The sequence below is a fragment of the Homo sapiens genome, chromosome 7 (genome assembly GCF_000001405.40).
Source record: "Homo sapiens chromosome 7, GRCh38.p14 Primary Assembly".
Lineage (NCBI taxonomy): Eukaryota > Metazoa > Chordata > Mammalia > Primates > Hominidae > Homo > Homo sapiens.
This window is the reverse complement of record NC_000007.14, coordinates 7,803,824-7,828,743: the sequence shown is the minus strand read 5'-3', so window position 1 is coordinate 7,828,743 and position 24,920 is coordinate 7,803,824. Positions and strand designations below refer to the sequence as shown.

Below are 24,920 nucleotides of genomic sequence, written 5' to 3'. Positions count from 1 at the left end.
ACTGGGAAGCTGGAGTTCAGGAGAGCTTCAAAGGCAAAAAGGAGAAGGAAAAATGAAACGCAAGGTTGTGTGCAAGACAGGTCAAGAGCTATCCCCTTTCTTTTTCTGGATCAAAGCCTTTACAGGCAGCCCCTTAGCCCCTGCACAAACTAGCATGCGTGTGTACACACAGAAGTCAGCAGGGATGGGGTCCCTATGGGTTGATATAGCCGCAAGAAGCTCGGGACCAGGGGCTCTGAGAAGAAGCATGAGTCAGAGCTGTATTCCCCAATTTTGATTCAGTGACTTGGCTTAAGTGTTTGGACTGAACCCAACAAATCAGAATTTGAGTTTGTGCCACAGATTAGGTATGTGACCTGAGTATGTCAAACTTTCACCTTTCTGAGCATCAGTTTTCTCAACTCCTCAAATAGGGAGAGCTATATGATATATGTGCATGCACTGTACTCCACACAGTCTCTAACCACAGTAGAACAACAAATAATAGCTTTTATTATTATTACTGAATGCCGGATCTCATTCATCCATTTTAACCAACCAGCGACTATCAAACATCCAAAAACCCTGGCCAGGTTGTAAATTCAAATGAATTCTGTGAAGATATTTTGAAATTGATGAAAGGTTTTCATAAGTATTTTCACAAACAAGATGGTAGTGGTGAATGACAAAGAGTCTCTTTCATTCCACAACTTTTTAAACATTACCCAATAACCTGACATATTCAAAAGAAGAAAAAGACTTTGAAAATGGTCTTATAGTGGCTTCTTGAATAATTGTTTGCCAAACAAAAGTCATCTATAACATTTTGGTTAAAAACTGATTCTATGAACAACCTATAAGAAGAGGGGTTAAACATATTTATATATTTCCAACTTCATGTACATGTGAATTGGAGTTTTTGCTGCTGGTAGTAATTTTCATTAAAAGGCAGAATTGTCTTATTGGAGGTAGAACTTCATCTTTGTCTTAAACCACATGCCATTAAGCCATATATCCCTTTACTACTGACTGATCACAAAATGTTCCATTTTGCCCACTGAAGAACTTAATTTGTTTACTATTAAATAATGAACTAGAAGTTATATCTTACTATTACTTCTAGTTCATTATGCATTTAAAATTTTTAGTATCACTGTATTTTCTCAAAAGTTATCTTTAGTTGGTAAGTAAAATCAGCTTTACGTATATGATATTGGCATAAAATTTCCTCTTCAAATATATGTATTAAAACATGAGTCAATTTTAAAACTGTGGATAAATAATATTTTAAAATACTAAAAATATTTTAAAGAATATATCAGAGATATAGTACGATAAATATCCTAAAATAATAGGTGGCACAAGTTGAATACAGGAGGACTGCCCTCTGCTATTCTCGTTTGCCTGCCAAATCTACTAATCTACCTTTTGCAGACCTTCGTTGGCCACTGCAGCCACAGCAATTACTCTTTGTATCTGGAATTTTTCCTATAGAATTTAGTCTACACTACGTGATTTTATTTTTACTACATGATTAACACAAAATCATATGCTATAATATTCCATTATTTAAATTTTCATGTGATACACACACACACACACACACACACACACACATATATATATATATATATATATATATCCTGGACTGTGAGACTGATAAAACACTTCAGGGGAAAAAGAATTAATCCATCTTCTTTGGCACTGAGCACAGCACTATGCAAATGGGGCATACTATAAATATTTTCTGAATAGTCTTATAATTCCTTATAATTCATTAAAGTAACTGCATCTTATGGAATGTTCTCTAAATATTAATGAAAATAAACTAAATTTTAGTTCTAATTATTTTGAATTGAATGATCCATAAAGGCAAAATTTGAATTGTTATAAGATTAGTAGTTGTGTATTGGTGGACGTTTCTTCTTCTTCTTTAATTACAGGTAAGTATGGTGATGGGGTGGCAATGTGCCTAGCTAACATTTCTGAGCCTTCCTTGCTGATAGATATAGTCAATGAGATGTAAATGAAAGCTGTTATATGGGGCTTTCAGAAAATTACTTAAAGGGGGGTGGGTTTTACCCTAGTCCCCTCCTGCTATGGTTGAAGATGCAGTGACCATCTTGTAATCTAGAGGCAATCTGATATATAAAAATCACACATCTAATAAACAGCATGGGTAGACCAGCTATCCAGGTGAAAAATCAAGAACCATTTTTCTATTCACCAATTGAGGCGAAAGAAATAACAAATGGTGGGAAGTGAGTGGCTAACGCACAGGACCAGTTTAACAGGATGGAATTTACCTAAAGTTTTATCAAGTGGACAGTTGATCCACTCAGGCACTCAAACATTTCTCAAGTGCTTGTCATTTGTGAGACTTAGTACTAGATACTAGAGAATCGAAATAATGATGATTGTGTCCTATCTTCAAAAATTAAAGGTGGTGATGCAGAAAGAGAAAAAGTTGAGGAAACTGTTAGTATCATGGAGCCACTATTATCAGCCCTCAATTGCCTAACGTGAGACATTTCTAGATAAAGAAAAACAAACCCCTGTTTTGTTAAGGCCACCAGTTCAGGAATATCAATTACTTTCAGCCAAATGCAATTTCTGATTCATCCATGTACATACAGTCAGCCCTCTGTATCCTTAGGTTCAATATCCATGGATTCAACCAACTACTGATCAAAATTATTAGAAAAAAACCAATACAACAATAAAGTATAACTTTAAAAACACTACATCATAACAACTATTTATATAGCGTTTACATTATATTAACTTTTACAAGTAATCTAAAGATGACTTATAGTATAGGAAAGGATGTGTGTAAGTTATATGCATATACTGTGCCCATTTTATACCTGAGACTTGAGCACCCTCAGATTTTAGTATCTGCAGAGGTCATGGAACCAATCCCCTATATACTGAGGGACAATTATACACGTTATAGGCACAATCTAGGGAATCCTATTTGAGTGGTGATTAAAAGGTCCTCAGCTTTTTCACAAACACCTTTTTCCTTGGTACTGTAAAGTGCATATTTGTTATAAAATATATCATGCCAATATTATTCATTCTTTGGAAATAGGGTGATATGGTTTGGCTGTGTTCCCACTCAAATCTCATCTTGAATTCCCACATGTTGTGGGAAGAGGCAGGTCTTTCCCATGCTGTTCTCATGATAGTGAATAAGTCTCATGAGATCTGATGGTTTTAAAAATGGGAATTTCCCTGCACAAGCTCTTTCTCTTTGCCTGCTGCCATCCATGTAAGATGTGACTTGCTCCTCCTTGCCTTCCACCATGATTGTGAGGCCTTCCCAACCATGCAGAACTGTAAGTCCTAAAACCTCTTTCTTTTGTAAAATGCCCAGTCTCAGGTATGTTTTTATCAGCAGCATGAAAATGGACTAATACAGATGGATTTAAAGTTTCTGTAAAAATAAAAATGCTATCTGAGAAGAGTTACACTTTAACGTATCAATATAATTGACTATCTCGTTGTGAATGGACTTATTAATTAACTTCAGTGATGGGTAGGCCCTGAGGGGATGGAACACAAGATATTAATAGAAAAGTTTTCCTGTAGGAAGATTACACTCCCCCCTGCGCCCACCTCCTATCCACTCTATTCCCATCTCTAAGATATTGACAGGCAGCCTTAGAGGTCAAGGATATAAAAACTGAAAGGAGAGCTACAAACCTGAATGGAAAGTGTGCCAAAGGCAAACTTACACCTCTGTTACATAATGCTACCCATGACCACCCCTCTATATGGGCCTACTTTATTTATTCTACAAAAACAAAAAAACAAAACCCAGTTAACTAATAAACAGCATAGGTGGACTAGCTATCCTGGTGAAAAATCAAGAGCCATTTTTCTATTCACCAATTGATGTGAAAGAGAGACAAATGGTGGTAAGTGAGCGGCTAATACACAGGACCAGTTTAACAGGATGAAATTTACCTAAAGTTTTACCAAGTGGAAAGCTGATCCACTCAGGCACTCAAACATTTCTCAAGTGCTTGTTATTTGTGGGTTAGTACTAGATAGTAGAGATTCAAAATGATGATGATAGTGTCCTATCTTCAAAAATCTTCCAAACTTCTACTGGTGATTGTCATGTAAATAAACCATGACAAAACACTGTGAAGCATGTGGTACCACAAGTGGATACAAAAGCTCAAGTAGGATAGCAGAATTCATTCTAAGGATGATGAAGAGTGGTCAGAGAAAGCCTCACACAGGGAATGATACCTAAACAGGATTTTCCAGGATGATAGGATTTTGCTATGGAGATGAAAGAGGATATGCATTGCAGTCAGAGGGAAAAATGAACAAAACCTGATGATATGAATGTTTTATGTATGACAAATATTTGTTATTGCTGTAGCATTGAGCACTGAGGAAGAAGTAAAAGAAGGGGGAATTAATTAGAACACAGATCAGGGAGGGTGCTGGATGCCATGCTAATCAACTTGGATTTTATCTGATAAGTAGTTACTGAAGGTGAGCCGGGGTACTTGGAATGGAGTGAGGCTGGAGGAAGGAATATCACCTGGGAAGCCTTAGTAATAATCCAGATGACAAAGGATGAGGACATGCAAGTTACAAGTGGTTCCTCTCTGATTCTGTGGAGCGGAGGGCAAGGTGGGAGGTGCGGGAGGGAAAGGAAAGGAAGGTTAAAAATCATTCAGCTGATGGTAATGTTTGTTGTTTGGAATAGTCACTTTTTATCCACTTGCCCTCAACATTGTTTATAAGGCACCCAGGAAATGCACGTTCTCTATGAATTCACTCTTTCAAAGGTTTTTGTCTGGGATTATACTGCTAGGCATTTAATACTAAATGAACCAAAAATAAAGAGATGTGAGAAGGAGAAGCTGAAGCTTTTTGCTGTAGGTGTCTTCTTAGCTTTACGAATCAATATTATCACTTTACAAGGAAGCATTTTTCACCTAAAGGGAATGGAGAGGGGATGCATTAGATTTCTCATATTGAAATCTGTCTTTAAATCATCCTTATTACCATCTTTAAACATATTATTGTGAAAATTATCCAGAAATATATACGCTAATATGTTTTTCAAAAATAAAAAAGAAAGCATTTTCTCTTTTTTAAAAAATGAAAAGTAGGTAAGATGTGAATAGAGCCTGCCCAATTCCCAATTCCTATCTCCCAAAAGACATGTGGACAAATGAGAAAGCATACCTGAGGCACTTTGGGCTTCAAAAAAATTGGGCAAACGGAGTGCAGGAGGGCCAAACATCACATTTGCCAGACTTGGGAATTCTTTGAGTTAATAAGAGGGCTGAGTTATGGCGGGGGTTGCCAGATCAAATATAGATAACTTTTTTTGGTCTAAGTATAACCCAAATATTGCACAAGACAAACATACTAAAAAATTATTTATTGTTTATCTGAAACACAAATTTAACTGGGCATCCAGTAATTTTATTTGCTAAATCTGGCAATCATAGTTAAGGGAAAAAAGTTGGCTGAATTAATGACCTATTTATCTTTTTGGGGGTGACATTTTGGCTTCCTTTATGTAATAAGGAGTGTTATTAACTACATATTAGGGGATTATGAAGCACAACAATATAAAAGTGTGAGCTTAAATGACTAATTATAAAAACTTTCCCAACAACATTGGGATCTCATCTCTTAAGTACTGTGCTCTGTATAAAACATCAAGGGAGGAGCACTCCTAATCAATAAAACAGAATATTAAAACCTTAAAGAAAGAATAAATAATGTTCATTGACACATATTAGCACTATAACCTCACAGACAAGTATTCTGAAAAGCAAACAGCCCATAAAAATATAGAGGCATGAAAATTTTTCTAAACACATGTCACCTAAAAAAAACTTGTTAACAAAGCATATTTTCATTATAAATGACAGAGAAGACAACCAAAAAAAAAAAGTTTTTCGTCTTCATAGAAGTCTTACTAATATGTCTTCAATTGATTGCTAGAAAAAGAGAATGACAGGGGCATCTCTGGAATCCAAGCAAGGTAGGAAGCCGAACTGTTCAAATCTAGGAATTTTTCTGTATTTACACTAAAGCGTTATGGCTATTTCTGATGCATTTTAAGCTTACTTTTATTACTTCCAGAACCCTTTCCTCATTAAGGCACAGATATAAACTGAGAGCTACTTACAGGGCAGATACCAAGTGGTCTGTGTGCTGGTGGGATATAGACCTCCACCTTGCATGCATATCAGCTGAAGAAAAAGAGCCCTTATTCATCAAATTTAAAAAGCGCTCTCTCATTTCATGCTAATTGTATGGTCCTTTGCATGATATACAAAAGATTGCCCAAGATGAAAGGCATGAAAAACAAAACGACCAGGCTCGGGTTGTTTTTTTTTGGAACAAGATTAACTTACTACCTTTTCAGAGAAACTAGATGACTAATTCAAATATTACATTTATCTTCACAGACTGACCTTACAGATTTCATTATTATCAGCATTTACCCAACTGCCTCTCTCTTTTTCATACAGTGTGACTTCACTGTACTATTCTCAGTGCGCCCAAACCCTTTAAGTTTTTGTCAAACAATACATACATCAAAAATTTTAAATAAAGTACACAAGCTTTTCACAGGTAAATAGCTAAACCCCCCTGGAAAAGAGAGGCTGATTATTAATAAATGCTTGCTTTCCAGTTCCTACCATATGTAGGTTTTGCTTTGGCTGATATCATACAAAAGCACATCAACAACTCATTTTTGTTTACTAATAAGTAATATTAATGTAATATTACAGTAATATGTAATAATATAATAAGTGATAGATTATTACTCAAGGGTTGTAAATAAGATGGTCAGCCATGGTAATTTATGACATAATTTATGGGATATAGTAAAACATGAATTGGGTCTCTGAAAACCAATTTAGATTTATGTTACCATAAACATCAACTGAATACTAACAACCACATAAAAGCCATCAGGGGAAGAGGCAGAAAGGAGAGAAACAGTAGGTACAGTTCACTCATTTGGCTGCACAACCGCAAAGCAGTACTTAGCCTTCCGTATCTATCGATTGCTATTAGTCAACTGAATCAGGACTGGCAATTTCAAAGAACAGCTGCTTCAACCTGGAGCCCTTGAAGAGACCAAAGAATAATTGGGCTTCTCAGATTTCCAAAGAATTGACTGTTCAGAGGTTAAAAACCAAATCATATAAGCTTTTAATATCTGATATTTACTGTACATATTAAGAATTTTTAAATCTATTAGACTGGCATTGTCCAATAAATCAGTGAGGTGAAACACATATAATTTTAAATTTTTTGATAGCCACATTAAGAAAGTTAAACAGGTGAAATTAATTTTAATATTCTTTTTTAAATCCAATATATCAAAAACATTATCATGGCAACATGTAACTAATATAAAATATTCAGATATTTTACAATCCTTTTTTTCATACTAAGTCTTTGAATCCCAGCATGTATTTTACATCTGAATACAGACTAGTCACATTTCAAGTGCTCAATAGCCACAAGCGGCAAGTGGTGACTGCATTAGGCAGTGTGCTTAAAATTTCACAAACTTGGGGGTGGGGGGAAAGCTTTGTTTTAATTACTACCTAATGTTTTCCTGCGAGTCAGATCTCAAGCCACTAGTGAGGTTACTTGTTCTTTTGTGTTCATGAACACAGTAAGCTACAAAATACCAGAAAGCTATACCACTAAAAACAGGAATTGAATCCTAAAAAAGTCACGCTTAATTTTCATTAATAACTAGTACTTAACATATTAAACTACTGTTTTCCTGGTTACTTTTCAGATTCTGCAACAAACTTCAGGAGTTTCAGTTTTTCTCTGAGGATCTAATTATCAGCCAAATCACCCAACATTCAGTGAAATATTCACATCTTTACTATTTGCTAAATATTTGAATAAAATAATATTTCAAAGTAATAAACTATGCAATTCCTAAATCCAAACTGGCTTATGACTAATTGGTAGGAATTGTACATTTTCCTCATGAGAAGAGTTTGAAAAAAAATCAAGAAAAGAATAACTAAAAGCAAATGAGTACCAAAATACACTAAATTCCAGGCTAACAAGCTCTTTGGCCCTTATGAAACTACAAAAGACAGCTTAAAGTCTCGCATGCTAAACTGACACCTGACAGGCCATTTTGAGGAGCTGAAGCATAGATGATCATTAGCAAAACATAAGTGACAGAGAGGTGCCAGTATTCAATCCTCAAATCTGAATATTCAAAATTTAAAAGACATAATATTTTAAAATAAATGTTACTTTTTGTTTCTCATTTATTGTTAGAAAATTTTAATTTCAACTTGAATTGTGAACTGACTGATACTGCCAGGCAATGCATGTAGAAACCAAAAAGTCAGTGGACTTATAGATGCTATAATCAATACCTAAAAAGATCTTGAGATACAAGCTGAGTATTCATCTTAATCACTTCTAATGAGATTAGGTAATTAAGTTAAATACGTCAGAAAATGAAACATTCTCATATTACTATGCTTTAGTCTATAATTTATCTATAATTTAATCAATAATTCTCATACTCTCCTGTATCACCATCTTTCTGTATTAGTAACTCCTTAACCCTTAACTGAATTGAGGAAAAGCAGTGGTTAAAACTGATTCATTTGGTTAATTAATGTTTAGCCCTGTGATGCCCTAAAATTTGCCTGAGTGACAACTACCTCTAAAAGACATAGTTGTAGCCTTCAACCCCAAAGTTAGTCATGGTCAATTGTTTTGCTTGATCTTGATATGATGAGTCTTAGAACTTAACACAATTTTTTTAACCACAAATCTTTGGCAGAGTAATAACCCATACATTTTCAGATATGGAGAACAGAGTTTAACAGAGCCTCATCCAAAATAGGTGTATAAGAAATATTTGGTGAAATAAATGGGATGGTCTGCTATTTCAACAGTGTACCCGGATGAGAAGTTAGAGAACTGTATTAATAATTTATTAACCAAACTGAACAGGTTTTAGTTAGGCAATGATAAAAATGCAAATGCAGATTTACTCATCAGATATTCTGGTGACAAAATCACCTTTTTCAGAATGTGAACCCATTTTTCTTTCAGAGCAAAACTAAAACTATTTTTGTTGAAAGCACGAAACACCGGTTTTGGTTCTCCATGTCAACAGGCGTGGAAAAAACAAGTAATATACACGTAGCTTTATCCAACTCAAAATGGCCCTCCTCTTTCAGATCTGATTCAGTGGCCCTTTTGTGTATGTGTGATTTCTGCAGGCTCCCAGCGTGTGTATAGCATAGCATACCTAAAGAGACCCTGCAGAAATCACATTTATGCAGCTCTCAAGAATCTTATATTCTTCTAGTAATTACCTACAACTTACCAGATACAGCGTAATATAAACAACTGCTGAATGTTATTTGATACATCAAAAATGGGGGCTTAAAATTTTGAGAAGTAATATATTCATGGTTTGAAGAAAATCTTCAGATGCTTGTCATTTACTTATTTTGTCAAATTCCTAATTTTTGTGCAAGAAGGTCCTGTACTATGGGGCTAAAAATCATACACAAATTTACCCTTAGGAATCACTGCTTAAAAATAAGAGGAGAGGGCCGGGCAAGGTGGTTCATGCCTGTAATCCCAGCACTTTGGGAGGCTGAGGTGGGTGGATCACCTGGGGTCAGGAGTTCGAGACCAGCCTAGCCAACATGGTGAAAACCCGTCTCTACTAAAAATACAAAAATTAGCTGGGTGTTGTGGCATGCATCTGCAATCCCAGCTACTTGGGAGGCTGAGGCAGGAGAATCGCTTGGACCTGGGAGGTGGAGACTGCAGTGAGCAGAGACTGTGCTATGGCATTCTAGCCTGGGCAACAGAGCAAGACTCCGTCTCAAAAAAACAGAGGAAAAACTATGGGCAACATAGCAAAACCCTGTCTCTACAAAAAATACAAAAATTAGCATGTTTTCTTTATCCAGCCTTTCACTGATGGGCATGGAGGTTGATTCCATGTCTTTGCTATTGTGAATAGTGCTACAATGAACATAAGTGTGCACGTGTCTTTATAATAGAATGATTTATATTCCTTTGGGTATATACAGTAAAGGTATTGCTGGGTCAAATGGTATTTCTGTCTTTAGGTCTTTGAGGAATCACCACTGTCTTTCACAATGGTTGAACTAATTTACACTCCCACCAACAGTATATAAGCATTCTCTTTTCTCCTTAACCTTGCCAGCATCTGTTATTTTTTGACTTTTTATTAATAGCCATTCTGACTGATGTGAGACGGTATCTCATTGTGGTTTTGATTTGCATTTCACTGATGATCAGTGATGTTGAGCTTTTTTTCATATGATTGTTGGACAGGTGTATGTCTTTTGCAAAGTGTCTGTTCACGTGGTACACATAAACCATGGAATACTATGTAGCCATAAAAAAGAACAAGACCATATCCTTTGCAGGGACATGGATGGAGCTGGAGGCCTTTATCCTTAGCAAACTAATGCAGGAACAGAAAACCAAGTACAGCATGTACTCACTTATAAGAGGGTGTTAAAATGATGAGAACACAGACACATAGAGGGGAACAACTGGGTCTTATCAGAGGGTGGAAGGTGGGAGGAGGGAGAGAAGCAGAAAAAATAACTAAGTACTACTAGGCTTAATACATGGGTGAAATAATCTGTATGGCAAACCCCCATGACACATGTTTACCTATGTAACAAACCTGCACATCCTGTGCATGTACCTCTGAACCTGAAAGTTTAAAAAGAAAATTAGCTGAGCCTGGTGTCACATGCCTATAGTCCCAGTGACTCGAGAGGCTGAGGTGAGAAGATCACATGAGCCCAGAAGGTGCAGGTTGCAGTAAGCTGACATCATGCCACTGCACTCCAGCCCAGGTGACAGAGTGAGACCTTGTCTCAAAGAAAAGGGGGTGGGGGGAACATACTGAAACATCTAAAAGGTAAAAAGTACCATTGAAAATGTGTCTTTAGTCAGGAACGGATGCAAAAACGGATGAGATACAGAAAAGAAAATCCAAAATACAACCAAGTTTTGAGGAAAGTCATAATACATAACAAATAAAAAATCAATGTGGCAGGTTAAATTGGACAAGAGAGGCAAGAGTCACTTTAGGATTTGAGAATTAGAATCATCATTCAGCTGGTATCATGGGAATTATTAAACATAACCTGAAAAACTAACAGAAACTGTTAAGAACCTGGTGAGAATAATTCACTTCGGAGAGATGAAGTAATGTTTCAAATATATTCCCATTACTCTAGCACCGAAAGGTAAGGAGGTTATCCAAAGTTAGAGCTTTTCATGGTTAAGAGTAATACTTAGATAACAAGTTCTTCTGTCTTTTGTCTAGTCTGACTGTTCCTGCACACATCAAACATTAAATATTTATTGAGTGGCTGATGCATGCCACGCACAGGGAACAATGATGAGTCAACCCGAATCCCCACTTCATGGCACTCCTGGTCAGATGTACAAGGTGTTAAGGGACCAGAGGGGAGACTAAATGGCATTGAAGATGAAAGATATTTGAGCAGGGGTTTGAAGGATGAACAGGAATTTGCTCAGTGAACACAAGACGTATGGGATAAAGTTCTTCAGAGAAGTGACAGAAATTGCACAAACTTCAAGAGAAAGGAATATACTCAAGAAATGGTAAGAAACTCTGTATGGTGACACAGAACAGACCTGAACGTTTACACAGAGGAGCAGGACCAGACCACGAAGGACCATATATGCACAGTAGACACAAATTACTGGATTTTATCCTACAGGCAGCTGAAGAGCCTCTGATGCCATCAAGTAAGGCAACTACATGGTCAGATTTGTGGGTGAATGGATTGAATGAAAGTAGGACTGGGCATTAAGGGCTATTACAAAAACTCTTTGTAATAATCCATGTGAAAGATAAGGCCAGAACCACTGTAGTTGCAGTGGGGAGGTAGAGGAAAGGACAGATAAGCAAGGTAGCCAGAGGAGGTAGAAATAAAGTGATTGGTGATCAATTGGGTTGAGAATGAAAGAGGAAGAAGTCAAAGATAATTCCCAGGCTTCTGACTTGAGAAGATACACCTCCATGCCAACTCATTCTATCAGCTTTCCTTTTGGACTTTGGCTCACTCAGATTGGTCACTGCTGCTTTGCCACATTCTCTTTGTCCCAAAGAATGTCCTTGAATGCTACCGACACTGGTGGCATATATCCCAAGGCAGTCATTCCCACCTCTGAGTGGCGGTGATAAGAGAGAAGCACCACTTCTTCCTCTCCCGGCCTCATCTCTACAGCCTTCAGCAACTAACAGCAGCAATCTTTTATAGAACACTCAGTTTAGTTCTGCACACAAATCATTGAAGTCAATATATAGTTATTGTGGACCTCACAGGAGAAGGCACTACGGAAAAGAGAAGCAAAGTGAAACAGCAGGTTTCTGCAGCGTTATTTATATAGTGGAGACAGGAAAACAACACGATGCAAAGCATAGGTTTTGTGGTTAGTCAGGCGCAAGTCTCAATTCCGGTTCCATTAATGTTACTGTTTTTTTTGTGACCTTGGGAAATGGGTATTGTTGAGCCTTGGTTTCCTCCTCTATAAGATATATAGATAATATTGCCTACCTCGTCTGTAAAAATTAATGAGTTAATACATGTAAAGGTCCTACCAGCATTGTGCTTAGCTTATCCAAGATTTTTTTTTAAATTAATGTCCTTCTTTATTTCTTGTCCCACTATGACTACTCAAAGACTTCGTGGCCCTAAATAGAATCCAGGCATCACTAATGAATGCTTCTCTCTATTTGTCCTCCCCCACCTCCACTGATATCTATTGTTGGACAAATGAACCTTCTAAAAGCAAAATAGGTTGATATCTATGTCAGAGACCTCTTGTAGCCTACCCAATATTCATCCTTCCTTTCATCTTTAATAGAATCCTGATTTTTCTGGGGGTAGTAGCAAAGTACCAAGCTAAAGTAGGCTCCTTACCAGGCTCCCGTGCCACTAGGGGTGGCCATATGTTATAATATGGCCAGTAAAACTGTTAGAGATTTTTTGAAAAGTTTCTGGACACAGTTTTATTCTCCCTTTGCTGTCTTCCTCCTTCCTGCTTCCTGGAAAATAGATATGATGGCTGGAGCTGCAATAGCTAACTTGCAACTATGAGGAACTATAGGACTTTGGTCTTAACATTCCTGAGCTCCTGAATCAATACTTTAACTACCTTCTATGAGACTTCTTGTCACATGAGAAAAATTAAGCCCCAAATTAAACCCCTGCCTTTTACTGTAACTCTCAATTGAGCATAATTCCTAAATGATTTAATCAATTCTACTCTACTCTGGCATGATTTTTAAGGCATTAACCATAATTTCCTTCCAATCTAAAAAGAAACTAATACTTACTGAGTATCTAGTATACATCAGATACTGTGTATATAGACATACAAATAAATATTACATATTGACTCACCAAATTCTTATAGTAACCCTGTACAATAAGTGGTAAAGCCAAGATCTGAGCTACAAGTCTGTCTGATACAGTTCACATTCTTACAGCTATCCATACTACAGCAAGGGTTATGAAAATCTGCCACTGTGAGGAACCATCACTCCCGAGACAATCTTTCTCTCTAAGTTAGAAAGGCACTTGTCCTACATCCTCTATACTGATATCAAAAATCCAACTGGTAAGCCATCTAAAAAGCATATCTAGGATTGAAAGTGTATACAGAAGGGAGACCATGAAGTGGCTGATGTGACAAGTAGTGAGACTTGCAAGATGCCTGCGGTACACCCTGCCCGAAAGCAGCTTGGCAAGGTTGATGACCTGGAAAGGAGGCTCCTTTCACCTGCATCTTCAAATCAATAAGGACCCTGAAGAAATCACATCGCACTGGAGGTAAGTGTGTAGCTGACTGCCATACTCCACCTGAGGCATGGGAGAGACAGGTTAAGGAAGGTACTCAATGTCACACACGTTCTCGCAGTCAAACCCCTATGTATGATTTTATCAGAGATTTGAAAGAGGAGCAAAAGATGATTAAAATTAGAGGTTATGTATACCACTTACAACCTATTAAAATAAAAAGTACACTCTAAATATAAATATATTTTGTAGAAGTATTACATAAATATACTTACATATAGGAATATATTTTAACCCTTTCCTCTACAAAATGAATGAGGCAACTAAAAAGACTCACAATAAATTTAAAAATTACGTCCAGGAAAAATATAGAACAGGAGCATCAGGTGAGAGGAAAATAAAGCAAGCAGATGCATATCTCATAAGGTCTTAAATAGTTACTAAAACTGAACTGTAAATTTAGGTCTGAGCTTCCCCCTAGCCAATGGAAAATGGGAAAAAACAAAGTTAGGCACAAAATTTACAATGGCCATGAGAAAAAGAGACTATTACCACCTCAAGAAAAACAAAATATTTTGTTAGTATAAAAGCAATATGACAGTGGCTCACGCCTGTAATCCCAGCACTTCAGGAGGCTGAGGCAGGCGGATCACAAAGTCAAGAGATCAAGACCATCCTGGCCAACATGGTGAAAATACATCTCTACTAAAAATACAAAAAAATTAGCTGGGCGTGGTGTTGGGTGCCTGTAGTCCCAGCTACTTGGGAGGCTGAAGCAGGAGAATCGCTTGAACCTGGGAGGCGGAAGTTGCAGTGAGCCGAGATCACGCCACTGTGCTCCAGCCTGGCAACAGAGCGAGACTCCGTCTCAAAAAAAAAAAATAAATAAAAAGCAATATGAAATTAGAATACCTAAGTAGGACTTCACATGGGAAACTATCTAATGTAGTTGACAATGCCTTAGTAACACCTCCATAATAAATATCAGTAAATTCCACACAGCAGTTTCTCACCAAGTTATTCAATCAAACTGAACAACAGTACAAGGAAGGCAATCTGTGCAGGACTAAGGCAATGAGGTAGAAATATACAGCTCTCCGATGGGTTGGTTTGAGCTAGTCATAAATGCCAGAATATCTCGATGAACAAATAAACAGCATGTTCTTCAAACTATTTTCCAAGAGAAACCATCTTAAAAAGTAGGGTTATACAACCATTTACCAACTTCTCAGCTAAAAAGTTGTGAGAAAGTTTTCATATGCTTTTTTTTAATGTAAATGGTACTTCAGTACACTATCACTGTGCTCTTACGTGTAGCATACACCAATCTTTTCTCCCTCTGCAAGTGGCATAAAAAGGCAGAAAAAGGGGCTGGGCGCAGTCACTCATGCCTGTAATCCCAGCACTTTGGGAGGCCAAGGCAGGCGGATCATGAGGTCAGGAGTTCGAGACCAGCCTGGCCGATACGGTGAAACCCTGTCTCTACTAAAAAATACAAAAATTAGCCAGGCGTGGTGTCGCATGCCTGTAGTCCCAGCTACTTGGGAGGTTGAGGCAGGAGAATCGCCTGAACTCAGGAGGTGGAGGTTGCAGTGAGCCAAGGTTGTCCAGCCTGGGCGACAGAGCGAGACTCCATCTAAAAACAACAACAACAACAACAAAGAAACCTGGCACATAGTAAGGAATGGGGCTGGCTACGCCTGGAGAAAAATGGAAAATCTACGTAAATTGTACTAAGCTAAAGTATAATTTTTTTTCTATGTATTCATGCTGGTGCACTCATGTAGGCATGTTCATAAGAAGACTCCTCAGTAGGTACAAAGTGGAATATTCAGATAATGTCAGTTAGACCAGGTGCATACCTACATGTTACTTTTCCACTGCCTGAAGATTCAGATGAAATTTATCCTTCAAGAAGGAATCTCTAGTGGTCGGAAGACATCATAAAAATGGCTGCACTTAAGCTCTCTATATAGTCTCAAGAAGTTGTAATGGTAATATAAACCAAAGGAGGACAAAATAAGGACCATTTGCCACTAATTAAAAAACAGAATTTGAAAAAAAAAAAAAAGATGGCTGTGTGAAATAGGGAACAGTTGTTCTCCCAACATGGACCTCTCACCCTGCTGATTTTGTGGTTTTTAAAGCTATAAAAGTAGAAACTGGAAACAATGACAACAAGGTGACTACCAAAGTATAAACAGAATATTATATATCGTTTTTTAAATAATAATATCTCAATTGAAGACATAAAACTAGATTTGATAAACAAAAAGCTAGTATTTCCACATTTTGATTCCTCCTTCTAAATATATATAATTAACACATGTGTATCTCCACAAACTGCAGTAACAATGTTCCAGTTCTTAGATTCTAATTGCAATCAATTGTGATCAATCAACAGATGTGTTGGGCACTTAAAGTTACATAACTTTAACAAACAAAGATTGCTAAAGTTAAATAAATATCATTGTGGTCATTTTAAGCTACCTAACTTCATCCAGCAGAGGTACAAAAGCAGCAGGTTAGCGGGTTTCTGGCAGGGAATAATTGGTGCTGAGCAACAGACTGTGTACATGAGCAGAAACATTGCATAAAACTCACATTACTGGCTTACCCACACCATATGTGCAGTTTGGATGGAAACAGGGTTGCTCTCATACACCTCACATGGTTTGGACTCACTGGCTAGGGTGAATGAACATTATGTTTCAGTGTGCTAGTTAACCCCAATGCAAGCCAGAAGAAAGCACCAGAATTATGACCTTTCAATTATAATTTTTCCAGCAAAGGTGAAGTTAGGATACAGATGTTGTGGTAACAAAAATGTACAAATTTGAAGTTACGAAAAAGACCTTCACAAACTTTGAGAAGCAGGCTGTAAGTTTATCTTGGCAGTGTTCTGGGTAAACAACCTGTGCTAATCTTACTGTAAAATAAGTCAAGATTACCTATAGACTAAAAGAAATAACAACGTATTTTTAATTGTTCTCTACCAGTGACCAAATTTATCATTTCCCAAGACAAACACTCTTAGGAAGAGCAAGAATCTTTGAAGTAATTTTTGAAGTCTGACAATTTACCTGCAAGGACCATTGAATTTTCCCCACCCAACAGGCCATAAAGCTTGATTAATCAATGCCTAAAATCTCTTCATTAAGCAGCAGATTCGCATCTCCCTTTCTCCCCTATCAAAGCATTATTTTAAAGGTTGGCATTTTGTGGCAAAACCCCAGTTCGCTTTCCAAAGAGGTAAACAGTCATGACTTCTGGGCAGGGAGGGCGCTCAAACATTGCACCTAATTCATCGACTTCATGGACTAAGAATTGAAGTTGAAGAAATCTCAGCAACATATCCTAGATCATACTTAGTGAGCTAAGGAGTCCAACAAAAGTGCACTTTCTATTTTGTTATATGACCCAGCAATTCAGATGAAAATAAAGGTTGGAGAAATGCATTCTACAAAATCTTCTTACCAAAAGGTATGCTGCATAAGAGGATAAACACATCAAAGAATTAAATTTATCTGTTCAAATGACACAGTGCAATAATCTAACTATGCTTCATATCCAAAGAAATCAGAAATTAGAAAGGGTTTTATATTAGGAAAAACAAAGAATGAACAAAAATCCTGGCAAGTCTTTGATAAAATTATGTTCTCATCAGCTAATTATCATAAAGCTAGAAATTCATATCTTTAAATTAGGAGTCTCAGCATCATAGATAAAAAGAAAGAAGCGAGATGTTTAGACAAATATGTGTCCAAGCCAGTAACCCATACACTTTTGCGGGGGAAAATATGCCTTTATAAGTGATTCAATGACATTGACAGGTTGATTAATGAGAAAAGTTTGGGCCATGTGATTTCCAAAGAGATAGGAAGAATAACCTCCCAAATCACCTCACTCTTCTCCCTGCTGGAAAGGTCCCTGGGTGTCAGGGGACAGATGTTTTGACAAATTGTGGTCAGATGTGGTACTCTGTGATCAACTAATTAAGAGACCTTAAACCTAAATGAGTCAAGGGAGCAAAGTGCCAACATATCTCCTTCATGATCATTCTCAACAGACCGACTGTTTCACTATTTTACTATCACACAAAATAGTTCTTGCAAAAACTATCCTTGAGTGAATACGTTGTTTCCTCATCACCAACATTACTATCATTTAAAATATAAGATACATTCATTATAGACAAATTGGAAGATCAGAACACTGGAAAGAATGATTTAACCTATGTAGCTATCATCCCAAATGCAAGTACTCTTAATGTTTTTATGTATTACATCATCTTTTTCTGCATAGTTTTTATATAGCAGCAATCATACTGTATATACAATTTTGTATATTGCATTTTTAACTAAAATTATAAAATTAAGTACTATATCTGTATATTTTATTGAAAACTCATCATCAGTGTCATTTATAAAAACTGAAAAATATTGCACTGACTGAATATGCCATCTTTTTTAGCATACAACTTGTGGATTTAAAAGACTATTTTCTTAGAACAGAATCCTAAAAGTGGAATTACTGTCAAAGTATATTAACATCTTTATGGCTCTTAATACCTATTGCCAAAATGCTCTCCAAGAATAGTTGTACCAATTTAAACTGCCTTCAATAGCAATATCCATTATATTTGTATTTTGACTATGAATATCTTGTGTGAGTAAAGAGTTTCATAATCATCTTTGTAACCCCCCGATGCTTTAAATTAATATACTTATTATATACCATTTTGTACTAAAAAATTCTTAAAACTGAAATCCTGGCATCCACTAGAAGAACTGTTGCTATTTTTGAAATTGTTCTTGAAAATCTCCCCCTCCAGTCTCCTTTTTTCTATACTTTGAGTCCCCAATTCCTTTCTACACAAAACCCAGTTTTTAATGCAGTAATCTTATTCCATTCTTTGAGGAGTAGTAACCAAAGTCTGTATCACATGGGATTCACAAATCTCAAGGATATTTTCATTCATTTCAATAACTATCTGAAATAAAAGCAACAAGGAAACGCGTCCCTACAGAATCTGAAGGCTCCTATAGCTCTATGAAAGACATAATGGATGTATGAAAACACATCAGAAGAAGAGTGAACATGTTTTATTAAAATGTGCATCTCATACTTTTTTCAGAAAATCAAATTTTAGGCTGAGGGAAGGGAGTGGGTAGGGAAAGGGAAGATGCTGATCAAAAGGGACAAAGTCTCAGTAAGACAGGAAGAATAAGCTTTAGTAATCTAATGCACAGAATGGTGACTTTAATAAATAACAATACACTGTATACTCAAAATTGCTAAAAGAGATTTTAAATGTTTTTACCATGAAAAAAGATAAGCACGTAAGGGGATAGATTTGTTAATTAGCCTGATTTAATCATTTCACATTGTAAGCATGTGTCAAAACATCACACCGTACCCCATAAATACATGCAATTATTACTTGTCCATTAAAAATAAAAGTTTTTAAAAAGAAATGAACAAAAGAATCAACTTTTCCCTAAATTACTGAACTATGAATTCTATAATGCAGCTTCATATACAATGCAGCTTCCATACCTAGCTCAAAAGAACTCAAGCTTTTGTTTACAATTGTACAATATTCCAAAGTGACCGCTGTGTACTAAATTGAGAAGTGTGTTTGAAATTACCTGAATAAACAAAGTCCCTTAAATCCTTCCTTTACCTACTAGAAATATCATGCCCCTAACAATTTTAGCAAAACAGTTTTTATTGTTATTGCTACTACCTTAATTACTATTTCTGCTACTCTATTAAATTTGCTAGTACAAATTGGCCATAAGATTGTTTTACCTCTTCATTAAGAAATTTATATTAAATATGCAATAAGTTACTTTGGTAACAGAAGTTGGGGGAAGGTGTTAGTGCCAGTTTCTTAATATAAATAATTTTTGTGTCTTCTGTCAGTATAACCACAGGAGTATCTCAATACCACCAGCTGATAATAATCTTTATAAATCCTACTTTGCAGCTCTACCATCTGTTAGTTATTATTTTATATGTGTCTCCATATGCATATGTGAATTCGTTATCACTCAAGACAAATACACAAATGGAATTATGGTTTTGTGGGGAGCATTTTATTGGCTTGTTTTTGTATTTTATTATCTTTAAGCCACTAAGTAAATAAAAATAAGTAAATAAAAATATCCCTCAGTCTTTGAGATCAAAAATAAGTTCAAATTTTTAAAAAACTGCAGTTACAAATACAAGAAATTTAAGTTCAACCAACACTTAAAATAAACAACCTAAAAATATCTGCTAAAACTAGATTAAAATTCAGTCACCAAAATTAGACATAGTTATATTAAAAACTAAAACTAACATTCTCGATTCCCAAAATACACCTTAAAGCCAAAAAGAACAGGTCCGCTGGTAAATTATTAGCTAATACGGTTCCAGTTTTCACAATATAAAACACTTTCCAAGACTACAAATTGAAAAAGAATGACGACTTGCTTACATGTAATGTTTATTCTCTTAAGAGATGAGTCATAATGGCAAAAACTCAAAACTGGGCCCCTACAGGTTTATCTCCCTGAGCTGTAAGTTACAGGCTCCAAGACTAGTAGAACACAGTAGAAGTAGATGCAACATCATTACAACTCACTATCAAAATTTACCCAGAAGGGCAAGAAGGAAAAAAGAAGAATGAAAAGGATGTGTCTAATCCTTTAATTGGATAATTAGGTTGAATTGTAACTCTTCCCTCAAATATCAGAGTCTAATGACATTAATTTTAATAAGCCCAAACATGGATTTATACACATTCACTCTCTCCATACCAAAAACATGGTGAACTTTGTTAAAAGTTACAAATGACTCTTAAAACACAGAGTAATGCACAACTTAGTAAAAATCACATTTTGATGATTAGATAGTTCAGTGACGTGTCTCCTAAAGTTACCCTATTTTAGGTGATAATATCTTAGGATGATACATAGGAAACTATGATGTAGATGCAGTATTAATTAATTTATTATTGAGAGAAACCTGAAACTACCTAAACAGGGAGGTGAAGAAGAGACAAACACTACTTCAGGAAGTACTGAAAACTTTCGATTTTTCTGGAGTGAATGCTAAATTATCATCACTTTCATGAACTGCAAAGTCTCTCAAATTACTTAATACAAATACGCTGTTTTCCATAGACAATCATTCGTGTAAATGCGCTAAAATATCCCATAATCTAGCTCTGTAAAAACTAACCTATTTGATGCCCAAACCAGATCTTTTTTAAATTCTATTCCATCTAGATGTTAGAATTTCCATAAGGTCGAGAGATGTACTTGAATGGAGAACACAGTTTTGAAATATACTTGGGCTATGACGTGTAATGAAAAATATCACAGACACTTAACAAATATTTTAACTGTCATTAAAATTACAATGTAGCATAGGCCACGCTACATTCATTTCATTTTTTAACCCCTTATTACCAGCCATTGAGATTCACGTGTGTAAAGCAATTTCACATTAGGATTTGCTTCTGTATTTCTAAAATGTTCTTAATGAAGAATTTCATTTCCCAGGAACTTCTTAATCATAAAAAATTAATCATACAAGTAGACAAAATTATTCATAGTTTAAAGCTCATCTAATGCATGATGCCTTTTTTGACTCCCCCAGACAATATCCTTCTTCCATCGAAATCTCACAGCTACCTTTGTAGTTATGACGCGTAAGGAACTTATTTTATTTCACTTTACAGTACAGTGATTTGCTAAATTTTCCACAAATAGATGGAGAATTCCTGCATCAGTAAGTCAGAGTCACTGGGTCTTAGGTATCTTTGTATCCTCCCTACCACCATGTCTAACACAATCCCTTGAAACTAAGAGGCAATCTATATGTTTATCTGAACTTGCCAAAAGAAACCTCTTTCGGTATACTAAAAGCCACCTTCTCCAAAGGTTCTTAGAAAACTGAGCTATATTTTGGCAACTACAAATGTTATTTTTAAGCTTTATGGAACCCATGCTAATTTACTAATTATGTTCTCGTTATAGAGAATATTTCAACATTGCTTAGTCATTAAAAATTAAAATAATTAGAGGCTTTCCAGTTAGCAAATAGTTATGATTTCTTAATCAGATGTATATATATATTTAAAGCTAACTGAATTTATTAAACTTTTCCCTGCTAATGTAGTAAGAGTGCCAAAAATAATGTAAATTAACAGATTTTTAAATGGATAACTCCAAAGAAATGCAAGAAAATTTTTTTATGGTGAGAAAAGATACAACTGTCTGTTTATTATGTAAAGTAGAAAACAGAATTTAATAAAGATAAGTGGATTATTTATTTTTCATTTATCTACCCAGAAATCATTGACAGGGCATTTATGTTACATCACATATGTCTAACAGTGTGATAGTTGCTGAGGTCATAAAGCTAATTAAGCTATAGCCCCTGCCTTTCAAAAACCTGCACTATAGTGAACTCATAAAAGACAATCTAAGCATTAAGAGGACATTGGGGTTGTCTCTGGCTGGGGGAGCAGAGAAAAGGGTTCACAAAGGAAGTGACATTAGAACAGGGTTCAAGGTTTCAGCTGCATTGTGCAGGTTTCAAGGGATTTTAGAGGGGGGAAGTAAAAAAAAAAAAACCCTGCTGTTCTTTTTTAGAAAGAGATTTGGGGAAGAAACTGCTCATCTAATAATAGTCTAGTGAACAGATGAGGACCTAGTTGGTGTAGGAGAAACCACATTTGGAAGATATTTGATAGGCAGAAACATTAGGCCTTGGTTATAGATTTAATGAGGGAGTGAGAAGAAGGAGTCAAAATGACATTTAGGCCTTTAACCTGGCAGATGGACAAAGACATTAAATAAAATCTAGATGATCAGTTAGCAAGTACTTATTGGGTAACTTCTGTGTACCAGACACTATTCTAGACATACAAAGTTTGTTTTCATTCTAGTCAGGAGAAGCAGATAGCAAATGAATAATCCGACATAGTGATTAAGTGTAATGGAGAAAATAAGACAGAGTTATGTGACAGTGACTGGGGGAAGGACACATTAGCTGAGGTAGTCATGAAAAGTGACACTTGAATGATAAGGAGGAAGCCAAGTGAAGCTCTGGTTTAAAAAATGACTAGCAAATACAAAGCCTGAGATAGGAAAGGGCTTAACATCATCAAGAGACAGAACGGCAGGTGGCTGGTGGATGGGGATGGGGAGAAAAATGAGATTAGAGAGAGTATGGAGTTCCTTGTAGCCCACTGCAAGGAGCTTAGCATTTATTCTAGTTACAGTAGATAGAGCTTTTAAGCCAAGGAGTGATGTGATCTGACATATTTCTGTCTGCTATGTGGAGAATGGGCTGGAGGAGAAAGAATGGGGCCCTAGTAAAAGGGGTGGCTTAGACTGTTCTAACAGTGATGACGTTGAGCAGCAGTCACATTCCGGATATAGAGGGCAAGATGGCAGGACTTGCTGATAGACTGGATGTGCAGTGTGAGGGAAAGACAGGAGCCAAGGGTACCTCAGGGGGAATTGGTTCTAAATCACTATATAGATATAGGGTGGTGATATTAAACAGGAATGATTAAAACTTGGGCACAGAGAGGCTCCAGGGTGGTGGGGCCAGGTATCAATAGTTCTTCTATGGGTTAAGGAAAGGCTGAACTGTGTAGAAATTTGTAAGTGAAATGTTACATAGGCAGTTGGGTACAGAGTCTAGAACTCAGGGGAGAGGTCTAGGTAGAGACATATTTTAGGAGTCATCAACTTCTACACAGAATTTAAATCGAGGAGGCTGGATAAGACTCATTTTTGACTATATCTAGGTAGTATATGAAGGGTAGCGAGCGTTCAGCAGTGTTTTCACTTTTGTTTTGTTTTGTTTTGTTTTGTTTTGTTTTCTTGAGAAGGAGTTCCGCTCTGTCGCCCAGGCTGGAGTGCAGTGGTGTGATCTCGGCTCACTGCAACCCCCGCCTCCCAGGTTCAAGCAATTCTCCTGCCTCAGCCTCCCAAGCAGCTGGGACTACAGGCGCAGGCCACCGTGCCCAGCTAATTTTTTGTATTTTTAGTAGAGACAGGGTTTCACCATGTTAGCCAGAATGGTCTTGATCTCCTGACCTCATGATCCGGCTGCCTCAGCCTCCCAAAGTGTTGGGATTACAGGCGTGAGCCACCGCACCCGGCCTCATTTTTGTATTTTATTTTATTTTTGGAGATGGAGTCTCGCTCTCTTGCTCAGGCTAGGGTGCAGTGGCACAATCTTGGCTCACTGCAACCTCCGCCTCCCAGTTTCAAGCAGTTCTCCTGCCTCAGCCTCCTGAGTAGCTGGGATTACAGGCGCACGGCGCCAAGCCCGGCTAATTTTTTGTATTTTAGTAGAGATGGGGTTTCATCATGTTGCCCAGGCTGGTCTTGAACTCCGGAGCTCAGGCAATCCACCCACCTTGACTTCCCAAAGTGCTGGGATTACAGGTGTGAGCCACCACGCCCAGTCTCATTTTTGTATTTTAAAGGGGAGGAATAACAAATCCCATGTTAGATGCTTACTGTCAAGGTAAATTACTATTTGGCTTTTCTGTGGCAAAACATATATAGCCTCTAGAAGTATTTTATTGTTTTCCTCTTGCATTGCGATTTAACCCTGTGGTCTCATTTATAGTCTCCCACTCCACTTTTCTTTTTTTCTACATTAGTGAGCTGTCTGATAGCAAACACTGTCCTCTCATTGCCCAGCCGGTACTTGCATAGAAGGCACTTTTGAAACATCTGTTACTGCATGAGTATGTACATCCAGCCTTAATGATTAACAACTGACTATATTAATAGAGAGACTAGAAAGTAGCACAATAATGAGCTTGTTTGAAAGCTCTGTGGATTGTAATCTTAAAAGCATCTTTCCTTAAGAATTAGTCTTGGAATTCTTTCTATCAATGAATCAACTTTGAAAAATAGTCAAGTTCTGCAGACATTTCCAATGAATCACATAACTAAGTGCTATGGTCTGAATGCTTTGTGTCCCTCCAAAATTCGTATGTTGAAACCTAATCCCCAAGGCGACTGT

General features: G+C 36.7%; 1 protein-coding gene across 3 annotated transcripts in view, besides 3 other annotated features; it reads right to left on the bottom strand.

Moving 5' to 3' along the window:
* UMAD1 (UBAP1-MVB12-associated (UMA) domain containing 1) overlaps positions 1-24,920 on the bottom strand; it is a 238,472-nt gene that overhangs the window by 50,480 nt on the left and 163,072 nt on the right. The gene's annotated exons all lie outside the window — the stretch shown is intronic.
* Positions 6,863-7,810: an enhancer, noted in NCBI's record as "OCT4-NANOG hESC enhancer chr7:7860565-7861512 (GRCh37/hg19 assembly coordinates)". NCBI's record gives its function as "activates a minimal SCP1, AML or CMV promoter by ChIP-STARR-seq in naive and primed H9 embryonic stem cells {active_cell/tissue: H9 hESC(naive and primed)}" and the evidence as "EXISTENCE:reporter gene assay evidence [ECO:0000049][PMID:30033119]".
* Positions 11,451-11,540: an enhancer, noted in NCBI's record as "active region_25649". NCBI's record gives its function as "activates an Ori minimal core promoter by ATAC-STARR-seq in GM12878 lymphoblastoid cells {active_cell/tissue: GM12878}" and the evidence as "EXISTENCE:reporter gene assay evidence [ECO:0000049][PMID:35858748]".
* Positions 12,409-12,598: an enhancer, noted in NCBI's record as "active region_25648". NCBI's record gives its function as "activates an Ori minimal core promoter by ATAC-STARR-seq in GM12878 lymphoblastoid cells {active_cell/tissue: GM12878}" and the evidence as "EXISTENCE:reporter gene assay evidence [ECO:0000049][PMID:35858748]".